Raw genomic sequence first — 19,432 nt, 5'->3', positions numbered from 1 at the left:
TCATCTTCCCTCTCGCCCTTGCCCTTAGCTCCTCTCCCATATACTATAAATATGCACAGGTCTTCCTTAATTAAAAATATGTAAACCCTTGGCCAGGCTTGGTGGCTCATGCCTGTAATCTCAGCACTTTGGGAGGCCGAGGCAGGTGGATCACGTGAAGTCAGGAGTTGTTCAAGATCAGCCTGGCCAGCATGGTGAAACCCCGTCTCTACTAAAAAATACAAAAAAATAGCCGGGCGTGGTGGTGGGCACCTGTAATCCCAGCTACTTGGGAGGCAGAGGCAGGAGAATCGCTTGAACCCGGGAGGCGGAGGTTGCGGTGACGCGAGATCGCGCCATTGCACTCCAGCCTGGGCGACAAGAGCAAAACTCCATCTCAAAAAATAATCATAATAATTATATATATATATTTTTTAGACGGAGTTTCGCTCTTGTCACCAAGGCTGGAGTGCAATGGCGCGATCTCGGCTCACCGTAACCACTGCTTCCCAGGTTCAAGCAATTCTGCCTCAGCCTCCCAAGTAGCTGGGACTACAGGCATGCGTCACCACACCTGGCTAATTTTTGTATTTTTACTAGAGATGGAGTTTCACCATCTTGGCCAGGCTGGTATCGAATTCCTGACCTCGTGATCCACCCGCCTCGGCCTCCCAAAGTGCTGGGATTACAGGCGTGAGCCACTGCACCTGGCCCAATAATAATGATATTTACATCCCTTGGTATCATAGCAAGACTCCATCTATACAAAAAATTTTAAAAATTAGCCAGGCATGGTGACACATGCCTGTAGTCCCTACACTTTGGGAGGCTGAGACAGGAGGATTATTTGACCCCAGGAGTTTGAGGCTGCAGTGTGGTATGATCGCACCACTGCACTCCAGCCTGGATGACAGAGCAAGACCCTTTCTCTTAAAGAAAAAAAAAAAGTACAGGCTGGGCGTGGTGGCTCACACTTGTAATCCCAGCACTTTGGGAAGCTGAGGCGGGCGGATCACTTGAGATCAGGAGTTGGAGAGCAGCCTGGGCAACATGGTGAAACCCTGTCTTTACTAAAAATACAAAAATTAGCTGGATGTGTTGGTGCACATGCCTGTAATCCCAGCTATACAGGAGGCTGAGGCACAAGAATTGCTTAAACCCAAAAGGTAGAAGTTGCAGTGCCTAGATCACACCACTGCACTCCAGCCTGGGAGACAGAACGAGACTCTGTATCAAATAAATAAATAAATAAATAAGTACAAACCTTGACCTTGTCATCATCTGATCTCAATTTTCTGTCTGATTTCCAACCTTTCCCTCACCCAAATCCTTCACGCGCACAGTTCCTGTGACCTTAGTTTCTGGGTAAAAGAAAAAAAAAGAAAAGGCCAGCTGCAGTGGCTCACGCCTGTAATCTCAGCACTGTGGGAGGCCGAGGTGGGCGGATCACTTGAGGTCAGGAGTTCAAGACCAGCCTGGCCAACATGGTGAAACCTCGTCTCTACAAAAAATACAAAAAATTAGCCAGGCATGGTGGTGCACGCCTGTAATCCCAGCTACTCGGGAGGCTCAGGCTGGAGAATTGCTGGAACACAGGAGGCTGAGGTTGCAGGGAGCTTAATCGCGCCACTGCACTCCAGCCTGGGTGACAGAGCGAGACTCCGTCTCAAAAAAAAAGAAATTAAAAAAAAATAAGTAAAAACACTGTGCACTGTACTTAGTCCACAGAATGACCAACAAATATTTGTTAAATGGATGAATGAATGAACCATTCAGTTGATAATACCTTCTCAAAGCTCACTATTTCCGTTGACTTTATGGCACTCCTTTTTTTTGAGATTGAGTTTTGCTCTCATTGCCCAGGCTGGAGTGCAATGGCAAGATCTCAGCTCACTGCAACCTCCGCCTCCTGGGTTCAAGCAATTCTCCTGCCTCAACCTCCCGAGTAGCTGGGATTACAGGCATGTGCCATCACACCCAGCTAATTTTATATTTTTAGTAGAGACGGGGTTTCTCCATGTTGGTCAGGCTGGTCTCAAACTCCCAATCTCAGGTGATCCGCCTGCCTTGGCCACCCAAAGTGCTGGGATTACAGGCGTGAGCCACCGGCCCAGCCTTTTTTTTTTTTTTTTTTTTTTTTTTTTGAGGTGGAGTCTCGCTCTTTCGCCCAGGCTGGAGTGCAGTGGTGTGATCTTGGCTCACTGTAACCTCTGCCTCCCGGGTTCAAGCAATTCTCCCTGTCACAGCCTCTTGAGTAACTGAGATTACAGGCACCGCACCACGCCTGGCTAATTTTTGTATTTTTTAGTAGAGACAGGGTATCACCATGTTGGCCAGGCTGGTCTCGAACTCCTGACCTCAGGTGATCCGCCTGCCTCGGCCTCCCAAAGTGCTGGGATTACAGACGTGAGCCACCATGGCTGGCCTTTGACACTCCTTTATTCTTGTTCTGCTATTACATCTCTGATCTTCCCTCTGTCCCTCTTATTTGTTTATTTATTTTTGAGATGGAGACTTGCTCTGTCGCCCAGGCTGGAGTGCAGTGGCATGATCTTGGCTCACTGCAACCTCCACCTCCCGGATTCAAGCGATTCTCCTGCCTCAGCCTCTCCATTAGCTCTCCAGACTACAGGCGCCCGCCACCACGCCCGGCTAATTTTTTGAATTTTTAGTAGAGATGGGGTTTCACTGTGTTAGCCAGGATGGTCTCAATCTCCTGACCTCGTGATCCGCCTGCCTTGACCTCTTAAAGTGCTGAGATTACAGGCGTGACCCCACCACGCCCAGCCTATTTATTTGTTTTTTTGAGACAGGGTCTTACTCTGTTGCCCAGGCTGGAGAGTGCAGTGGTGTGATCTTGGTTCACTGTAGCCCGACCTCCCAGGCTCAAGCGATCTTCCCATCTCAGCCTTTTGAGTAGCTGGGACTACAGGCATGCACCACCACACCCGGCTAACTTTTAAAATTTTTGTAGAGATGGGTTTTTGCCATGTTACCCAGGCTGGTCTCGAACTCCTAAACTCAATCAATCCTCCTGCCTCAGCCTCCTAGTGCTGGGATTATAGGCATAAACCACTGCACCCAGCCCTTTTCTCATTCTTTAAGTGTGATGTTTCCTAAGAGTGTAACTCAGCCTTCTTCTTTTCTTTTCTTTTTCTTTTTTTTTTTTTTGAGACCAAGTCTCGCTCTGTTGCCCAGGCTGGAGTGCAGTGGCATGATCTTGGCTCACTGCAACCTCTGCCTCCCAGGTTCAAGCAATTCTCCTGCCTCAGCCTCTCTAGAAACTGGGATTATAGGCGCACACCAACATGCCTGGCTAATTTTTGTATTTGTGGTAGAGACAGGGTTTCATCATGTTGGCCAGGCTGGTCTTGAACTCCTGACCTCAGGTAATCTGCGCACGCCTTGGCTTCCCAAAGTGCTGAGATTACAGGCACGAGCCACTGCTCCCGGCCAGCCTTCCTCTTTTCAATGAACCATTCTGTCTTAGAGTTCTCATCTATCTAATGGCGTTACGGCGCACTTCCGTGCAGGAGACTCCCACACCTATATTTCCAGACCCAACCTCTTTCCACTCCCATCCCCCCATTTCTAACTCTCTGTGGAACATAACAGCTTGTTCCACTGTTACCTTATAATTGTACATTCTTTTCTTCAGGACAGTTCTTCCTCCTCAATGGCTCTTTTCTATTATTACTGCCATAATTGTCCTAGTAACTCAAGTCCAAAGCCTGAGTCACCCCTAACCTCTCCTCTCCCTCAGCCCTGGCCTCTCCCTCCTGTTTTATCCAAGTCCTGCTAATTTCCTCCCTAGGGGAGAGAGTAGAAAGGGAGGTGAATTAGGAAATTATTGCAATAATCTAGGCTTGAGAAAATGAGGACATGGAGCAAAGGAGTGTTGAATGGGGAAGTGGACAATATGCCCTAAAGATATTTTGAGTTTTCACCTGAAATAAAGGTTTGCTTTATTTCCATGAATGCATCTGTTTTCCCTAAAGATATATCTACTCCCTTCATGGCATGTATTTGCCTTCATGCATTTCATGAATATACATCAAGGGTCTGTTGGTATTTTTTTTATTTTTTTTAGAGACAGGGTTGCCAGTGGTGGAGTGCAGTGGCCCAATCATACCTCACCATAACCTTGAATCCCTGATCCTCCCCACTCAGCCTCCCAAGTAGCTGGAACTACAGACATGTGCCACTACATCCAGCTGAGTTCTTATTTGTTTGTTTGTTTGTTTGTTTGTTTTTGAGACAGAGTCTCACTCTGTTGCCCAGGCTGGAGTGCAGTGGCACGATCTTGGCTCATTGCAACCTCCGCCTCCCAGGTTCAAGTGATTCTCCTGCCTCAGCCTCCTGAGTAGCTGTGACTACAGGTGCATGCCACCATACCCAGCTTTTTTTTTTTTTTTTAGACGGGGTCTCACTCTGTCGCCAGGTTGGAGTGCAGTGGCGCAACTGCAACCTCTGCCTCCTGGGTTCAAGCGATTCTCCTGCCTCAGTCTCCTGAGTAGCTGGGACTACAGGCGCGTGCCACCACACCCGGCTAATTTTTTGTATTTTTAGTACAGATGGGGTTTCACTGTGTTAGCCAGGATGGTCTCAATCCCCTTACCTCGTGGATCCACCCACCTTGGCCTCCCAAAGTAGTGCTGGGATTACAGGCGTGAGCCACTGTGCCAGCTTTTTTTTTTTTTTTTTTTTTTTTTGAGACAGAGTTTCGCTCTGTTGCCCAGGCTGGAGTGTAATGTTGCGTTCTCAGCTCACTGCAGCCTCTGCCTCCCAGGTTCAAGCGATTCTCCTGCCTTAGCCTCCGGAGTAGCTGAGATTACAGGCATGCACCACAACGCCCAGCTAGTTTTTGTATTTTTAGTAGAGATAGGGTTTCACTATGTTGGCCAGGCTGTTCTCGAACCCCTGAGCTTAGGTGATCTGCCCATCTCAGCCTCCCGAAGTACTGGGACTACAGGCGTGAGCCACCGCATCTGGCCTAATTTTGTATTTTCAGTAGAGATGGAGTTTCGGGCTGGGCGCAGTGGCACACGCCTGTAATCCCAGCATTTTGAGAGGCCGAGGCAGGTGGATCACCTAAGCTCAGGAGTTCGAGACCAGCCTGGTCAACTCAACATGGTGAAATCTCCCGTCTCTACTCCAAATATAACAGTTAGCTGGGCATGGTGGCACATGCCTGTAGTGCTAGCTACTTGGGAGGCTGAGTCACAGGAATCGCTTGAACCAGGGAGGCAGAGGTTGCAGTGAGCCAAAATTGCACCACTGTACTTTGGCCTGAGCGACAGAGCAATGCTGTGTCTCAAAAAAAAAAAAAAAAAAAGAGATGGTGTTTCGCCATGTTGGTCTCAAATTCCTGACCTCAAGTGATCCACCCACCTCAACCTTCCAAAGTGCTGGGATTACAGGCATGAGCCACCTCGCCCTGCCTGTGTTTTTTTTTTTTTTTTGTAGAGACATGGTCTCACTATGCTACCCTGACTAGTCTTGAACTCCTGGCCTCAGGTGATCCTCCCACCTCAGTCTCCCAAAGCGCTGGGATTACAGGTATGAGCCACCACATCTGGCCTCTTCCTCCCGTTTTTAATCCTATCCTCTACTTTATAATTATTTTCCATTACCCCATTCAACACTCCTTTGCCCCATGTCCTCATTTTCTCAGGTCTGGATTATTGCAATAATTTCCTAATTCACCTCCCTTTCTACTCTCTCCCCTAGAAGAACGTACTCCAGCTATGGCCTAGTCATCTACCAACTCTGCAGTCACCCTCCTGTGATCACACCCCTTGTGATCTTCTCAGCCAGATGTGATCCCTTTTTCCCTCACACTCAGATAACATTTGGTTTGTATCCCTAGCATGATTCTCATTACACTTTTGTTTTGGTTTGTTAATTTGTACACGTCAACTTTCTCACTAGATGAAAGCCACTGAGGGCAGAAAACCAGACTCTATCTAACCTATCTTTCCAACATAATACACCACACAGTGTCTTTTTTGTTTTGTTTTGTTTTGTTTTTGAGATGGAGTCTCACTCTGTCACCCAGGCTGGAGTGCAGTGGCGTGATCTTGGCTCACCACAACGTCTGCCACCCAGGTTCAAGCAATTCTCCTGCCTCAGCCTCCCGAGTAGCTGGGATTACAGGCGCCTGTCACTGCAACTGGCTAAGTTTTGTATTTTTAGTAGAGATGGGGTTTCACTGTCTTGGTCAGGCTGGTCTTGAACTCCTGATCTTGTGATCTACCCGCCTCAGCCTCTCAAAGTGCTGGGATTACACTCCCAAAGTGCTGGGAGTGCGTGAGCCACTGTGCCCGGCACACACAGTGTTTTATACCAGCAGGTCCTTGATGTATATTAATAAAATGCATGAAGGCAAATACATGCTACAAAGGGAGTAGATATACCTTTAGGGAAGACAGATGCATTCATGGAAATTAAGGAAACCTGTATTTCAGGTGAAAACTCAAAATATATATACTTTTTTTTGAGACAGAATCTCGCTCTGTCACCCAGGCTGGAGTGCAATGGAGCGATCTTTGGCCCACTGCAACCTCTGCCTCCCAGGTTCAAGCAATTCTCCTATCTCAGCCTCCTAAGTAGTGGGACTACAAACACACACCCCAACGCCTGGCTAATTTTTGTATTTTTAATAGAGACGGGTTTCACCATATTGGTTAGGCTGGTCTCGAATTCCTGACTTCAGGTGATCCACCAGCCTTGGCATCCCAAAGTGCTGGGATTACAGGTGTCAGCCACCGCGCCCGGTCAGAAAACTCAAAATATTTTTAGGGAACATATGTGTGCCTAGAAAAACAGATGCACCCTGAGAGATGTGTGTCTCAGAGAATGAATAGGCATGTTCCAGGAATCATACAAGCATATATGGAAAAGGCAGGATACCCCAAGAAATGGACATGCATGTACTCAAGAAGGCAGATATTTCAACAAGAAGGAAAGTCCCTAAAGAGGCTCGGGGTGCCACAAGGAGTAAACAGATGTATCCATGGAGAATAAAGTTGTTTTGGAGATATTTTTGGAGACCTGGCAGTTGTGTCTGATGGAGAGTTGAAGGTGTAGGTTACCTGGTAAGAAATGGGCCTCACTATCCAGGGAACATATAGGTGTGTTCATATACAGCAATGGTGACTTGTAGAGAGGGGCTGGGTATGATCCTAGAAAGTAGGAAGGTATCTGAAGAGAGTGTTGTTTGTCTCAGGAAGCTGATAGCGGGGTCCAGCTAAGAACTAGTGGTTGTGCAGGCACAGCAGGCTCATGCTTGTAATCCCAGCACTTTGGGAGACTGACTGGGGAGGAGCACTTGAGGCCAGGAGTTCAAGACTAGCCTGGGCAACACGGTGAGACCCCATCTGTATAAAAAAACTTAAAAAAAAAATTAGGCCGGGTGTGGTGGCTCGTGCCTGTAATCCCAGCACTTTGGGAGGCCGAGGTGGGTGGATCATGAGGTCAGGAGATCGAGATCATCCTGGATAACACAGTGAAACCCTGTCTCTACCAAAAATACAAAAAATTAGCCGGGCGTGGTGGCGAGCACCTGTAGTCCCAACTACTCTGGAGGCTGAGGCAGGAGAATGGCATGAACCAGGAGGCAGAGTTTGCAGTTAGCCGAGAGCATGCCACTGCCCTCCAGCCTGGGTGACGGAGCAAGACTCCATCTCAAAAAAAAAAAAAAAAAAAAAAAATTAGCTGGGCATGGTGGCTCACGCCTGTGGTCCCAGCTACTTGGAAGTCTGAGATGGGAGGATCCTTGAGCCCAGGAGGTCGAGGCTGCAGTGAGCCATGTTTGTGCCACTGAACTCCAGCCTGGGTGACAGAATGAGACCTTGTTTCAACAAACAAACAAACAAACAAACAAACAAGGAACTAGTGATTGCTGTAGAGATGGCAGTTTTCTGACCCCAGGGTCCAGTGCTCCTCAGCCTTGAGCTTCTTCCAGATCAGATACGTCTTCTGGTTGCTGGCTTTAGTGGACACCAGGGGGCAGTGTGTTGCTAGGCTGCAGGCCACACCCAGTCCAGGACAATGTAGGATGAGGGCAAGGGACATGGAGAGGGGTGGTGAACCTAGTAAAGGAAGCCCCCACTGCTTTCTCCCTCAATTGTGAGGGCCTTAGGAATGGATTCCTGTTGCTCAGTCAGGGTTCCTCTTCCCAGGCCCTGTGAGTAAACTGAAGCATGAAGAAGAGGAATAGTCAGGGCTCCTGGGCAGCCTCCTGCTCCTCTTGCAGGAGTCACAAGCAGAGATTCCTCCCTTGCCCCTTCCCCCACACCTCCCCAGTTGCAGGCCCCCAGCTGCTGTCCAGACCGGAAGGGAGTCTCTTCCTGCTTGTTTCCTGGAGCCGAGTTTGGATATAGGCAGGAAAGGCCCGCCTGGGAGGAAAGAATATAGGGGTGTGACCTTCATGGAGGCAGGGAGCAGGGGGGCAGGTGAAATGAACAGAACAATGGGCCATCCAGATTTTTCCAGTTCTACTACCCAGGGCTGAGGGCCTGTGGCAGTGGCAGGGAAGGACACAGGTTCCACTGAAATGGGGAGAAGGACATTGTACAAAAAAAAAGTTTTATTTTGAAGATTACAGAACTTGTGCCATGACCCCACCTGGCTTCCATTCCCAGCAATCCAGGGATCTGTGGTGGGGATGAGAGTGAGAAAAGGGAGTAGGAGGGGAGGAGGGAGGCCTGGTGGGGGTGGGGAAGTGGAGTAACATGGTTGTTGAGAAGCTCGTGGCCCCCTAGGCCTGGGCCTCACTGTCTTTACTCCTCCATACTACAAGAGTGATGAGGAAGGGGATGAGGCAGATGGGGGCTATGATCATGGCCAGGAGTACATCCTCTGGGGGGTCAGAGAAGGTGGGCTGCACCAGGGAGCAGTTGGCAAAGTGGATCTGGTGAGTCTCAAAGATGATCCTCTCTGCCAAGGGATTGGGGAAGCCCAGGTCAAACAACTCTGCAAAGTGCTCCAGGCAATCTCGCAGGGTGCTATAAGGCCTAGGGGCAGAAGAGGACTTGAGTGAGAGAGGGGGTGGACCCAGGGAGAAGAGTGCCCCACTCTCACTCAGGGTCTACCTGCAATGAGCAGGTCCACCCCCTGGCCTGAGCCACCCTCCATCACTGCCCCTACCTGCTAATCATGGCCCAGTCGCACCAATCCTTTTCGATAGGATCCATTTGATCCTTATAATGATTCCAGCAAAATTGGACAGCTGTCTCATAGTTCTTCACCGTCCCCCCTGTAGGTACAGATGCTACACAATGACCACACCCCTACCCCTCCCTACAAACCCTCCTGCCCAGGTGCTTGCAAGGTGAACTGCCTGTCTTCAAACGTGGGAACCCTTCAGAAAGTTTCCCTAGCAAAACATTCTGGCTGAGGACAGAGTCCCAGCTCAGGAATCCTATAATGACTTCCATGTGCTAAGCACTTTCCATCCCAGCCTGATAAGAACTTCCACGTACACCTTTTCCTGGGGTCTTCTCGCCCACTTGTGAGGTGGGCAGCTCAGAGCCGTGCAGGGGCTTTGTAGGAGGACAGGGAGAAAGACCACGAGGAACCCCAAGAAAGAACAGAGGGGAGTGTAGTGGGGCATCAGCTGGGGTTGGGCAGGCCTCGTGGGAAAGGAACCCTCCCCACTGAACTTGCTCTCGTCCTTACCCTCGGCCACCCTTCCACACCCTGGGTACCCACCTTCTGACCCTGGTGTGCCTGTGGTGGGAAGAGGCTGAGCCAGGGCCTCGTGGGGATTCAGGACAGCTGTGGGAAGAAACGGGAGAGGAGGGTAACATAGCGGGGACCCCGGCAGTGGAGCCTGCGAGGGGGGTTGGGGGACTGAGACCCTCCGAAAATAGGCTACCTTGGAAGAAAAGGAGGAATAATCTAGCCCCCACGGACGCCTCAGTGCCGGGGAGGGAGGGGCTGGCACCAGCTCCTTGTCACTCACACCCAGGCCCAAAGCCCCCTCATCTCTGGCCAGCTTCCGTCCTCCTAAGCCCTCTTCGAGGGGCCGGGGCCAGCACCCCAGCTTTCCCTGGGTGGGAAGCAGCTCATGCTGCGCCCGCCCCGAGGTGGGGTCAGGGACCGTCCGAGGGCCAGTGCTGCTAGGTACGTCGGTCCTAACCCGCACCCCAGGGCCCGTTCCGGCCTCGGCCATCCAGCCCCTCTCCCCTCTCCCCTCTCCCCTCCGGGGCCTCTCGCGCCTCCCGCCCGGGCCTCGGGGCGCCGCGCTCACCGCCCAGCAGGAGGAGGAGGCGGAGCGCTGCCGGCCGCCCGACTCGGGTCCTAGGGAGACGCGGGCCGCCGGCGCGCTCCACCCGGAGCGAGGCCATCGTGCAGCAAGGAGGCGAGGAGCGGCGGCGGCGCTGAGCCGGGCCCGGGTGTGGGGGCGCCTATATCCCCAGCCCAAGCTGCAGGAAGCCGCGCCGCTTCCTCGGAGGGGCTGGGACGGCGGCGGCCACGTGGGGGGCGGGGGCGACGCTCGGGGCCCGCGGCTGGAGGGGGAGTCGCTGCCTCACCCGCGCCTGGCGCCCGCGGCTCCCTCCGCCTCGCCGGCGTTGGCCCACCCTCTCGTAGCTCACCCCGCGAGGCTGGACAGCTCCCGGAACCCCGGAACCGGGATCTATTTCGGGGGCTCGGCTGCGTGGCGCCCAGGACTCTCCAGGGTCTCCCAGGATCGCTCCCCGAATTCGAGTCGCCCCCTCTCTCTTTCGGGTCTGGAGGGGTCGGCAAGCTGCTCTCCCAGACGTGGAGAAGAGGGAGGGGGCTGGGAGCTCCAGCGGCCTCTCGACGCCGCTGCTTCTAAGGGGCTGTCCTGGGTTGTGGGGGAAGGGGCGCCTGGAGCTGAGCCATGCAGCTCAGGGTTCCTTATCCTATCCCTAGGAATACCAGCTGATGTCAGTCCGCCAGCCAAAACCAGGGAGGAGAAGCGGGAGCCAGCCCTCTGGAGTCGGGAGAAGGTCTGGGGAGTGGGGTAGAGGGGAAAGCAAAGTCCAAATACCTTCCCTTCAGACACCTCCTGGGGCCTAGACCCCACAAACCTGTTGTGGGGAGGGCAAAATACGATGACTACGTTCCCAGGAAGAAGGTGCCACAGCTCTTCAGGACCACGGTTGGGAGAAAGAATGGAGGGGTTTTAGAACCTTCAGTGTGCGACTTCATGTGCCAGGTGAGTGTAACACCATTTTACAGACCGAGAAGCTAAAGCTCAGGGCCAACAGCCCGGGATTTGAATTCAGAAGCTCTGGGTTCTAATTCTGTCTTCTTACTCCCCAGCTATAGAGCCTTGAATGACACGTTTACCTTCAGGACTTCTCATGTGAAATAGGGACATTCCCCTCCTCACTGTATGATGGCAGCTGTGAAAGGGCACTGCACTCGCTAAATGCTAGTTTCCTTTCCTCTTTTCCTAAGTGACTTATCTAAGGTCACACTGTTAAGGAAGCAGCAAGGCTGAGTCTGGGCCTCCGGGGGTCCTGACTTCAGCCACACCACAGCTGCTTCTTGTGTCCTGGGCCAGAGGTTCATTAGTCTGAAGCAGCTGAGGAGCCCAGGAGCTGGTTTGGCCATGACGTTCAAGTCCCAGACACAGCTGTCAGCACCAAACTTTCCTAAATTACTCCCAGACACTGACCCTTGGACTCAGCTGCTGCTGTTGTCCCAGTTTACTGATTCCTGCCCACCACAAATTATCTGTCCTGATCTCTCCTGAAGTCTTCATCTCAGGATCTCAAGCTCTTGGATCATGGGCACGGATAACCTGTTGTCCTCCTCTATGGTCAAGAGGCTGCTTTTGCAAAGAATCCAGTGGGAGAGAGTCAATGGCCTGCTTGACGTGAACTCCAAAGTCCTCCTGGTAAGGATCATTTCTACAATGATGCAGAAAAGAGCCATGCAGTCTCTGAGACATTTCAGGCTGGGACCAAATCTAGTCCTTCCTGCCTGCCTAGGATTGCTCCTTTCAAGAAGGAAGCATGGGAGATTTCTGAGTGATAAGATGGGAGGAAGGAGCAAGGAGGTGCAGAAAGCAAAACAAGCCATTTTCACTGGGTTGGGGCCAGAAGCACATGAGCCCACTATGGGTTAGGACTGGGGTTGGGGTCAAGATTAAAGGGGACAAAAGCAAATGTTAGATTTAAAATAGAGCCTGGGCAACATAGTGAAACCCTGTCTCTACAAAAAAAAAACTATAAAAAAATTTTTAAAAAATTAGCCTGGCATAGTGGTGTGCACCTGTAGTCCCAGCTACTCGGGAGGCTGAGGCAGGAGGATCACTTGAGCCCCAGAGGTTGAGGCTGCAGAGAGCTGTGATTGTGCCCTATCTCAAAAAAAAAAAAAAAGGACAATATGGCATAATGATAATGGATAATCATAACGGATGAAAGAAAAAAACTGATGAGGATTCTGAAGGTAGGTTCTGCCTCTGTCTTACTGCAAGTAACTTGAGCAGGTTATTTCACATCTCTGGAGCTCAAGATTTTCATATGTAAAATGGCCTTAAGATCAAAAAAGAAAATATAGGTAACTTGGTAGGAAGTTCCTATTTTATTTTTATCTTACTTTACTTTTTAGGAACAGGGGCTCACTCTGTTGCCCACATTGGAGTGCGGTGGAAGAATCATGGCATGCTGCAGTCTTGAGCTTCTAGGCTCAAGAGATCCTCCTGGTTCAGTCTCCCAAGTAGCTAGGACAGCAGGCATATTTTTTGTAGATATGGGGGTCTTGCTTTTTTGCCGAGGCTGGTCTCGAACTCCTGGCTTCAAGCAATCTTCCTGCATCAGTCTCTTAAAGTGTTGGGATTCCAGGCATGAACCACTGCACCTGGCCCTTGGGAAGTTTTATTTTTAGCCTAGGGTTGGGGTTAAGTTTGCATCATGATGTTGAGACCTCCAAAGGAGAACTTATTGTAGTCATTCCTGAGCTCAGGTGTCCAAACTGTCTAATTGGAGAATCTGGGAATTTTCTCTCGTTTTGATTTTCCTCTTCCACTTTTCCATGCCAGTTGGATGTTTGAATGTTTTTATCGACCTCTGAGAGCATCCGGGTAACTGAGGGTTTACTTTGGGGGTCTTTGGAGATGAATAGGGACAGGAGACCTCACCTTTCTTTTCCATGTAGCCATAGGAGATAGTCCCACGATCTGATGATCTGTAGCAATGGGTAGAGGAAGGGCCGTATTAGGAACAGAAGCTAGTTTCGTCATGGGAAGTCCCCTGTTTTCCACTCCTGAGGGCCCTCACATTCCCTTTCTAAGCCCCTTTCTGCTTTTGCTATTAAAAAATACAGTTTTTAAATTGCAAGTAATATGTAAGTATATACTTGTTGCAAAATATTTAACCCAGAAAACTTTGTATCCCCACTCATATCTCATTTCCCACATATTCTGGATTTTTTTAAAGGAAAGCATAAATGGGATTTGATACTCCTATTATTCAGTGACTTTTTTTTTTCTTGAGATGGAGTCTTGCTCTGTTGCCCAGGCTGGAGTGCAGTGGCGCCATCTTGGCTCACTGCAACCTCCGCTTCCCAGGTTCAGGTGATTCTACTGCCTCAGCCTCCTGAGCAGCTGGGATTACATGTGTACGCCGCCACATCCAGCTAATTTTTGTATTTTAGTAGAGACAGGGTTTCACCAGGTTGGCCAGGCTTGTCTTGAACTCCTGACCTCAAGGGATCCACCTGCCTTGGCCTCCCAAAATGCTGGGATTACAGGTGTGAGCCACTGTGCCTGGCCTCAGTGTCTTTTAAAAAATGTGATACTATTGCTGGGTATGCAGCTCATGCCTGTAATCCCAGTTACTCGGGAGCCTGAAGCAGGAACTTGAGCCCAGGAATTGGAGACTAACCTGGGTGATATAGCGAGACTCTGTCTAAAATAATAATAATGATAATAAAGAAGCCAGGCACAGTGCCTCACACCTGTAAACCCAACACTTTGGAAGACCAAGGCAGGAGGATCACTTGAAGTCAGGAGTTCAAGACCAGCCTGGGCAACATGGCAAGACCCTGTCTCTACAAAAAATAAAAATAAATTAGCCAGGCTTGGTGGCACATGCCTGTAGTCCCAGCTCCACAGCAGGCTGAGACAGGAGGATCCCTTGAGCCCAGAATTTTAAGGCTGCAGTGAGCCATGATCATGCCACTGCATTCCAGCATGGGCTACAGAGTGAGACCTTGTCTCCAAATAGAAAAAGAAGAAAGAAAGGAAGGGAAGGGGAAGGGGAAGGGGAAAAAGGAAGGAAAGGAGGGAACACTTAGTAACATGTCTTGGATATCTTTCCATGATACTACATATGTATGTATGCCTCTTTCTTTTTAACTGTACGTAGTATTGCCTTTAGTCTTTTTTTTCCTTATGTCCAGTGAAATCTAGGGGGTTTTCTTTGTTTGTTTTTTATTTATTTATTTTTGAGACAGAGTCTTGCTCTGTTGCCCAGGCTGGAGTGCAGTGGTGTGATCTTAGCTCACTGCAACCTCCGCCTCCCAGGTTCAAGCAATTCTCCTGCCTTAGCCTCCCAGTAGCTGGGATTACAGATGCCCCCTACAAGGCCCAGCTAATTTTTGTATTTTTACTAGAGACAGGGTTTCACCATGTTGGCCAGGCTTGTCTCAAACTCCAGACCTTAAGTGATCTGCCCACCTTGGCCTCCCAAAATTCTGGAATTACAGGTGTGAGCCACCGGGCCTGGCCTGGAAATCTAGTTTGTTTGTTTTTTTGGTTGTTTGTTTGTTTTTGAGATGGAGTTTCGCTCTTGTTGCCCAAGCTGGAGTGCAATGGTGCTATCTCGACTCACTGCAACCTCCGTCTCCTGGGTTCAAGCGATTCTCCTGCCTCAGCCTCCCGAGTAGCTGGGACTACAGGCGCCCACCACCACGCCCAGCTAATTTTTGTATTTTTAGTAGAGACAGGGTTTCACCATGTTGGTCAGGCTGGTCTCGAACTCCTGACCTCAGGTGATCCACCTGCCTCGGCCTCCAAAGTGCTGGGATTACAGGCGTGAGCTACCGCCCCCGGCCATACATCTAGTTTTTACATTTCTTACACATTTCCTTATTCCTCTGCCCCCACCCCGCACCACCTAGGGCTTGGAAAGAGAGGGATCTGGTTCTTGTCCAGCTGAACATTGTCCTGAGACTTCTGGCCCCAGTGTAGGTTAATTCCTCATGAGCAGGGATCCTACTACCATCCTACTGCCACTTCCTTTCTTGTTACAGGCCAAGGGTCATCCTGCCTGGAGCAGGGCAAGAGGTGACTTGACCCTTAGGAAGAGTGGCATCTCTAATCTTCAACTTCCACCACCACCACACACACAAATGCAGAGCCACCCAGGAGGAAGTAAAAAGTGCTAGGGCCTTCTACACCTTGAAATTATATGTGGAGCATCCTGCAATAAGCATCTCTGTGATGCACAGTCATTCACACCTGCTGGTCTCTCCCCCAGCTGTCTGCAAAATGAAGAGCAGAGCACAAGAGAACATGTGAGAAAGAGGCAGGGTCGGGGAAGCCAGAAGTCCTGGCTGGCAGGGGCTGATCCTTCCTAACTAGAGAGAGGAGACACACTTCTTGAGAGGGCAGGGAGATAGCAGGGAGAACTAGAGGAGCTATAGCCAGGGAGCCAGCTAAGGGAGGGAAGACAAAGGAGTGGAGACACAACTACTCCATCTCTCCCCAGCCTCCTCATCTCCAGAATGATGGCACACCTGGGAGGGGCCTGACTACCTTTCAGGGGGAAAAATGGTCACTGGGCCTGGTGCGGTGGCTCATGCCTGTCATCCCAGCACTTTGGGAGGCCAAGGTGGGTGGATAACCTGAGGTCAGGAGTTCGAGACCAGCCAGAACAACATGGTGAAACCCCATCTCTACTAAAAATACAAAAATTTGCTGGGCGTGGTGGTGCCTGCCTGTAATCCAGCTACTTAGGAGGCTGAGGCAGGAAAATCGCTTGAACCCGAAAGGCAGAGGTTGCAGTGTGCCGAGATTAAGCCACTGAACTCCAGCCTGGGCAACAAGAGTGAAACTCTGTCTGAAGGAAAAAAAAAAAAAGCCATTGGAGAAGACGGGGTCCTTCCAGAGAAGCTGATCAAGTCATATTACTCATCAACTGCTGGGGACCTAACAGTCACTACCATGTATTGAACACTTACTATGGGCTGCATAATGTGCCTACTGACGCATGTGCTGAAAGCTTTGCATGTATGTCTTAAAGCCACACCACTATAACATCAGAATTATCTTCTCCATGTGTGAAATGGGGAAACAGGAGGAGAAAGTTTACAATCCCAGAGCTAGTAATTGGCAGAGCCAGGATTTAAACCCAGGATATCTTGATGCTAAAGTTCATGTCTTAACCATTATGATTTATCACCTCCTCTCACTGCAGATCAGAATACCAATTTCTTACTGGGTCTGGAAAGGAGGAGAGAAGGATAGAGAGTTTCTTCTAGGACCAAATTGATTCCTCCACAAATAGGAAGATCCCCAGACTGTGTGCACACACCCTCCTCCTCCTTCCTTCTCCAACCCTGGCTGGACCATGACATCACATGGTGGAGGCTGTTTTTTAAAAAGAACTCAGGCCAGATTTACAAGAATGATGCTCAGGCAGCGTGACTGTCAAGGACCGTGGCCAAGTGACCCATAGCACACACCCAGCAGTGCTGAGAACATAGCTAGTCCCTTAGCACCTGGGGCTGACTCATGGTTGCTGTAGGACCCAATGCCAGATGCCAGGATTGCTTTCTCCCTCCATTCATTAGGACTGTCCCATGAAACCCTCCCCAGGAACCCTTCTACCCCATCCCGGCATGCCAGGAGCCTGGATACTGCATAACACAGGGTACTCATATTTGTTTACCAAGCCTTGAAGATGACAGGCAATATGCTGATATGCTCAATGCATCATACAAATTGTTTTATTTAAAACTGAACTATTAAATTAAGTATCATAGCAACTCACTTTACAGACAAGGAAACTGAAGCTCAAAGGTTAAGTAAGGGCCAGGCATGGTGGCTCACTCCTGTAATCCCAGCAGTTTGGGAGGCTGAGGTGGGAGGAGGATTGCTTAAGCCCGCGAGTTTGAGACCAGCCTAGGCAATATAGGGAGACCCCATCTCTACAAAAAATTATCTGGGCCTGGTGATGTGTGCCTGTAGTCCCAGCTACTTGAGAGGCTGAGGTGGGAGGATTGCTTGAGCCCAGAAGTTGAGGCTGCAGTGAGCCATGATCATGCCATTGTACTCCAGCCTGGGCAGCAAAGCAAAACCCTGTATTGAAAACAAACAAACAGGCTGGGCACGGTGGCTCACACCTGTAATCCCAACACTTTGGGAGGCCGAGGCAGGTGGATCACCTGAGGTCAGGAGTTAGAGACCAGCCTGGCCAACATGGTGAAACCCGCCTCTACTGAAAATACAAAAATTAGCAGGGCATTGTGGCACATGCCAAGGTGGGCAGATCACCTGAGGTCAGGAGTTCGAGACCAGCCTGGCCAACATGGTGAAACCCCATCTCTACTAAAAATACAAAAATTAGCTGGGCGTGGTGGTGGGCGCCTGTAGTCCCAGCTACTCAGGAGGCTGAGGCAGGAGAATCGCTTGAACCTGGGAGGTGGAGGTTGCAGTAAGCCAAGATAGTGCCACTGCACTCCAGCCTGGGCGACAGACAAAAAAAAAAAAAAAAAGAAGTTGGAGCAGTGTGAAGAAGAGGTGAGAACAACCCCCGGACTGATCAAAGCCCACATGCCACTGCATCCCGCGTCCAGCGCCTACATCCTGCCACCGTCGCTGCCACCACCATGCCCAAGAGAAAGGCTAAAGGGGATGCTAAAGGAGACAAAGCCAAGGTGAAGGACGAACCATAGAGAAGATCCACAAGGTTGTCTGCTAAACCTGCTCCTCCAAAGCCACAGCCCAAGCCTAAAAAGGCCCCTGCAAAGAAGGGAGAGAAGATACCCAAAGGGAAAAAGGGAAAAGCTGATGCTGGCAAGGAGGGGAATAACCCTGCAGAAAATGGAGATGCCAAAACAGACCAGGCACAGAAAGCTGAAGGTGCTGGAGTTGCCAAGTGAAGTGTGTGCATTTTTGATAACTGTGTACTTCTGGTGACTGTACAATTTCAAATACTATTTTTTATCAAGTTTTATAAAAATGCAGAATTTTGTTTTACTTTTTTTTTAAGCTATGTTGTTAACACACAGAACACTTCATTGTTGTTTTTTGGGGAAGGGGCATATGTCACTAGTAGAATGTCTCCAAAGCTGGATTGATGTGGGGAAAACACATTTCCCTTCCAGTTTTGAAAGATTTCCTCTTGGCTCCCAGGAGGAGGGATTCCCTGACTTTGACACACATGGCCACCTTGGCACAAAAGCCTTGTGGTATGGAAAAACAAATTCGTTTTTATGTCCTCTTCTCCCTTTCCATCCTTCAGCATAGACTTAACTCCCTTAAGCCCAGACATCTGTTGGGACCTGACCTCTAGTCATTGGTTACCAGTGTGTCAGGCAATCTGGATTTTCCAGTGATGCCGCTGAGATGGCACCTGTCAAAAGAGTAGTGGTTCCATTTCTAGATTGTGGATATTCAGATAAATTCTGCCATTTTCATTTCACTTCATGAAAGTCAGGTTCAGCCTGTGAAAAGTTGTTAAACAACATGCTAAATGTGAAATGTCAACCCTCACTCTAAACTTTCCCTGTTCAGAGCATCAGATGAAGACTTCAGTGGCTTTCTGATTTTTGGTAGTCCATTGAAGAAGGGAGTTTGAAAGTTGTTGTATACTGTTAACGATTGTCTGCCCATGTCCTGCCTGAAATGCCATGATTGTTTATGGAACGTATCTTTAATAAAGCTGGATACAGCTTGAAAAAAAAAGAAGTCAACTTGCTACAGAGAATTGAATAGGAAAGAATGAGGAAGATTGGCTAGAAGGGCAACCTGACAGGGCCCCTCAGGGCACACAGGTCTTTCCCCACTCAGTACTGTCCCTCTCCTGATTATGCTTACTTTGTCTATAGACAGTACCTTTTCACATTCTTTCCTGCAAGACACATTAACACATTAGATGGACAATGAAAAAAAAATACATTATTTTCTAGATGATAAGCAAGGATCCAACATATGTTAAGCAAACATGACACTAGTAACATATGGGTGTTTAACACATGGGTGTGATGTCTGTAATGTGAGCATAAGTAATGTTACAAAAGGCAATATTTTCCTCATCTGTAAAATGGGGGTGATAATAATATCTGTAAGTTACAAGGTATAAAGCACTTAAAGCACAACTTGGCCCATAGTTAATACTACATTATTCTTACTACTGCCTTAGTGCTTAAGAGCACACACTTTGGAGTCAAGTAAACCTGGGTTTGCATCCCAGCTCCATCGCTTATTTGGCTGTATCAGACTTTGTGCGACTGGGCATGGTGGCTC

The 19,432-nt window shown here is 49.5% G+C and overlaps 1 protein-coding gene, 1 long non-coding RNA gene and 1 pseudogene across 3 annotated transcripts, besides 1 other annotated feature; 2 read left to right on the top strand and 1 right to left on the bottom strand.

Annotated features, from left to right (window-relative positions):
* Positions 1-8,551: 8,551 nt before the first annotated feature.
* RAMP2 (receptor activity modifying protein 2) lies at positions 8,552-10,366 on the bottom strand. The gene is made up of 4 exons (NM_005854.3): positions 10,235-10,366; positions 9,694-9,759; positions 9,130-9,238; positions 8,552-8,996 (listed from the first exon to the last, which is right to left on the bottom strand). The coding sequence occupies exons 1-4, from the start codon at positions 10,329-10,331 to the stop codon at positions 8,741-8,743; spliced, it is 528 nt and encodes a 175-aa protein (NP_005845.2). The 5' UTR covers positions 10,332-10,366; the 3' UTR covers positions 8,552-8,740.
* Positions 10,163-10,252: a silencer, noted in NCBI's record as "silent region_8547". NCBI's record gives its function as "represses an Ori minimal core promoter by ATAC-STARR-seq in GM12878 lymphoblastoid cells {active_cell/tissue: GM12878}" and the evidence as "EXISTENCE:reporter gene assay evidence [ECO:0000049][PMID:35858748]".
* On the top strand, positions 10,336-17,679 carry RAMP2-AS1 (RAMP2 antisense RNA 1). Of its 2 annotated transcripts, NR_024462.1 has the most exons (6): positions 10,336-10,713; positions 10,882-10,958; positions 11,080-11,167; positions 11,713-11,854; positions 16,380-17,073; positions 17,363-17,679. It is a non-coding gene; the product is annotated as an RAMP2 antisense RNA 1 (long non-coding RNA). The 2 variants fall into 2 exon arrangements; NR_024461.1 differs by having other exon boundaries at positions 10,882-11,167; positions 15,214-17,679.
* HMGN2P15 (high mobility group nucleosomal binding domain 2 pseudogene 15) lies at positions 17,687-18,862 on the top strand (annotated as a pseudogene).

Source organism: Homo sapiens, chromosome 17 (assembly GCF_000001405.40).
Source record: "Homo sapiens chromosome 17, GRCh38.p14 Primary Assembly".
In the NCBI taxonomy this organism is placed as follows: Eukaryota; Metazoa; Chordata; class Mammalia; order Primates; family Hominidae; genus Homo; species Homo sapiens.
This window is presented reverse-complemented; position numbering and strand designations above follow the sequence as displayed.

Bases quoted from the DNA above. Each gene is read 5' to 3' on its own strand.
- RAMP2 (NM_005854.3), bottom strand. From the start codon at position 10,331: ATGGCCTCGCTCCGGGTGGAGCGCGCCGGCGGCCCGCGTCTCCCTAGG. The intron at 9,760-10,234 runs GTGAGCGCGGCG...TTCTTCCCACAG, and splicing joins CCTCCTCCTCCTGCTGGGCG to CTGTCCTGAATCCCCACGAG. The intron at 8,997-9,129 runs GTAGGGGCAGTG...TTCTGCCCCTAG, and splicing joins GACTGGGCCATGATTAGCAG to GCCTTATAGCACCCTGCGAG.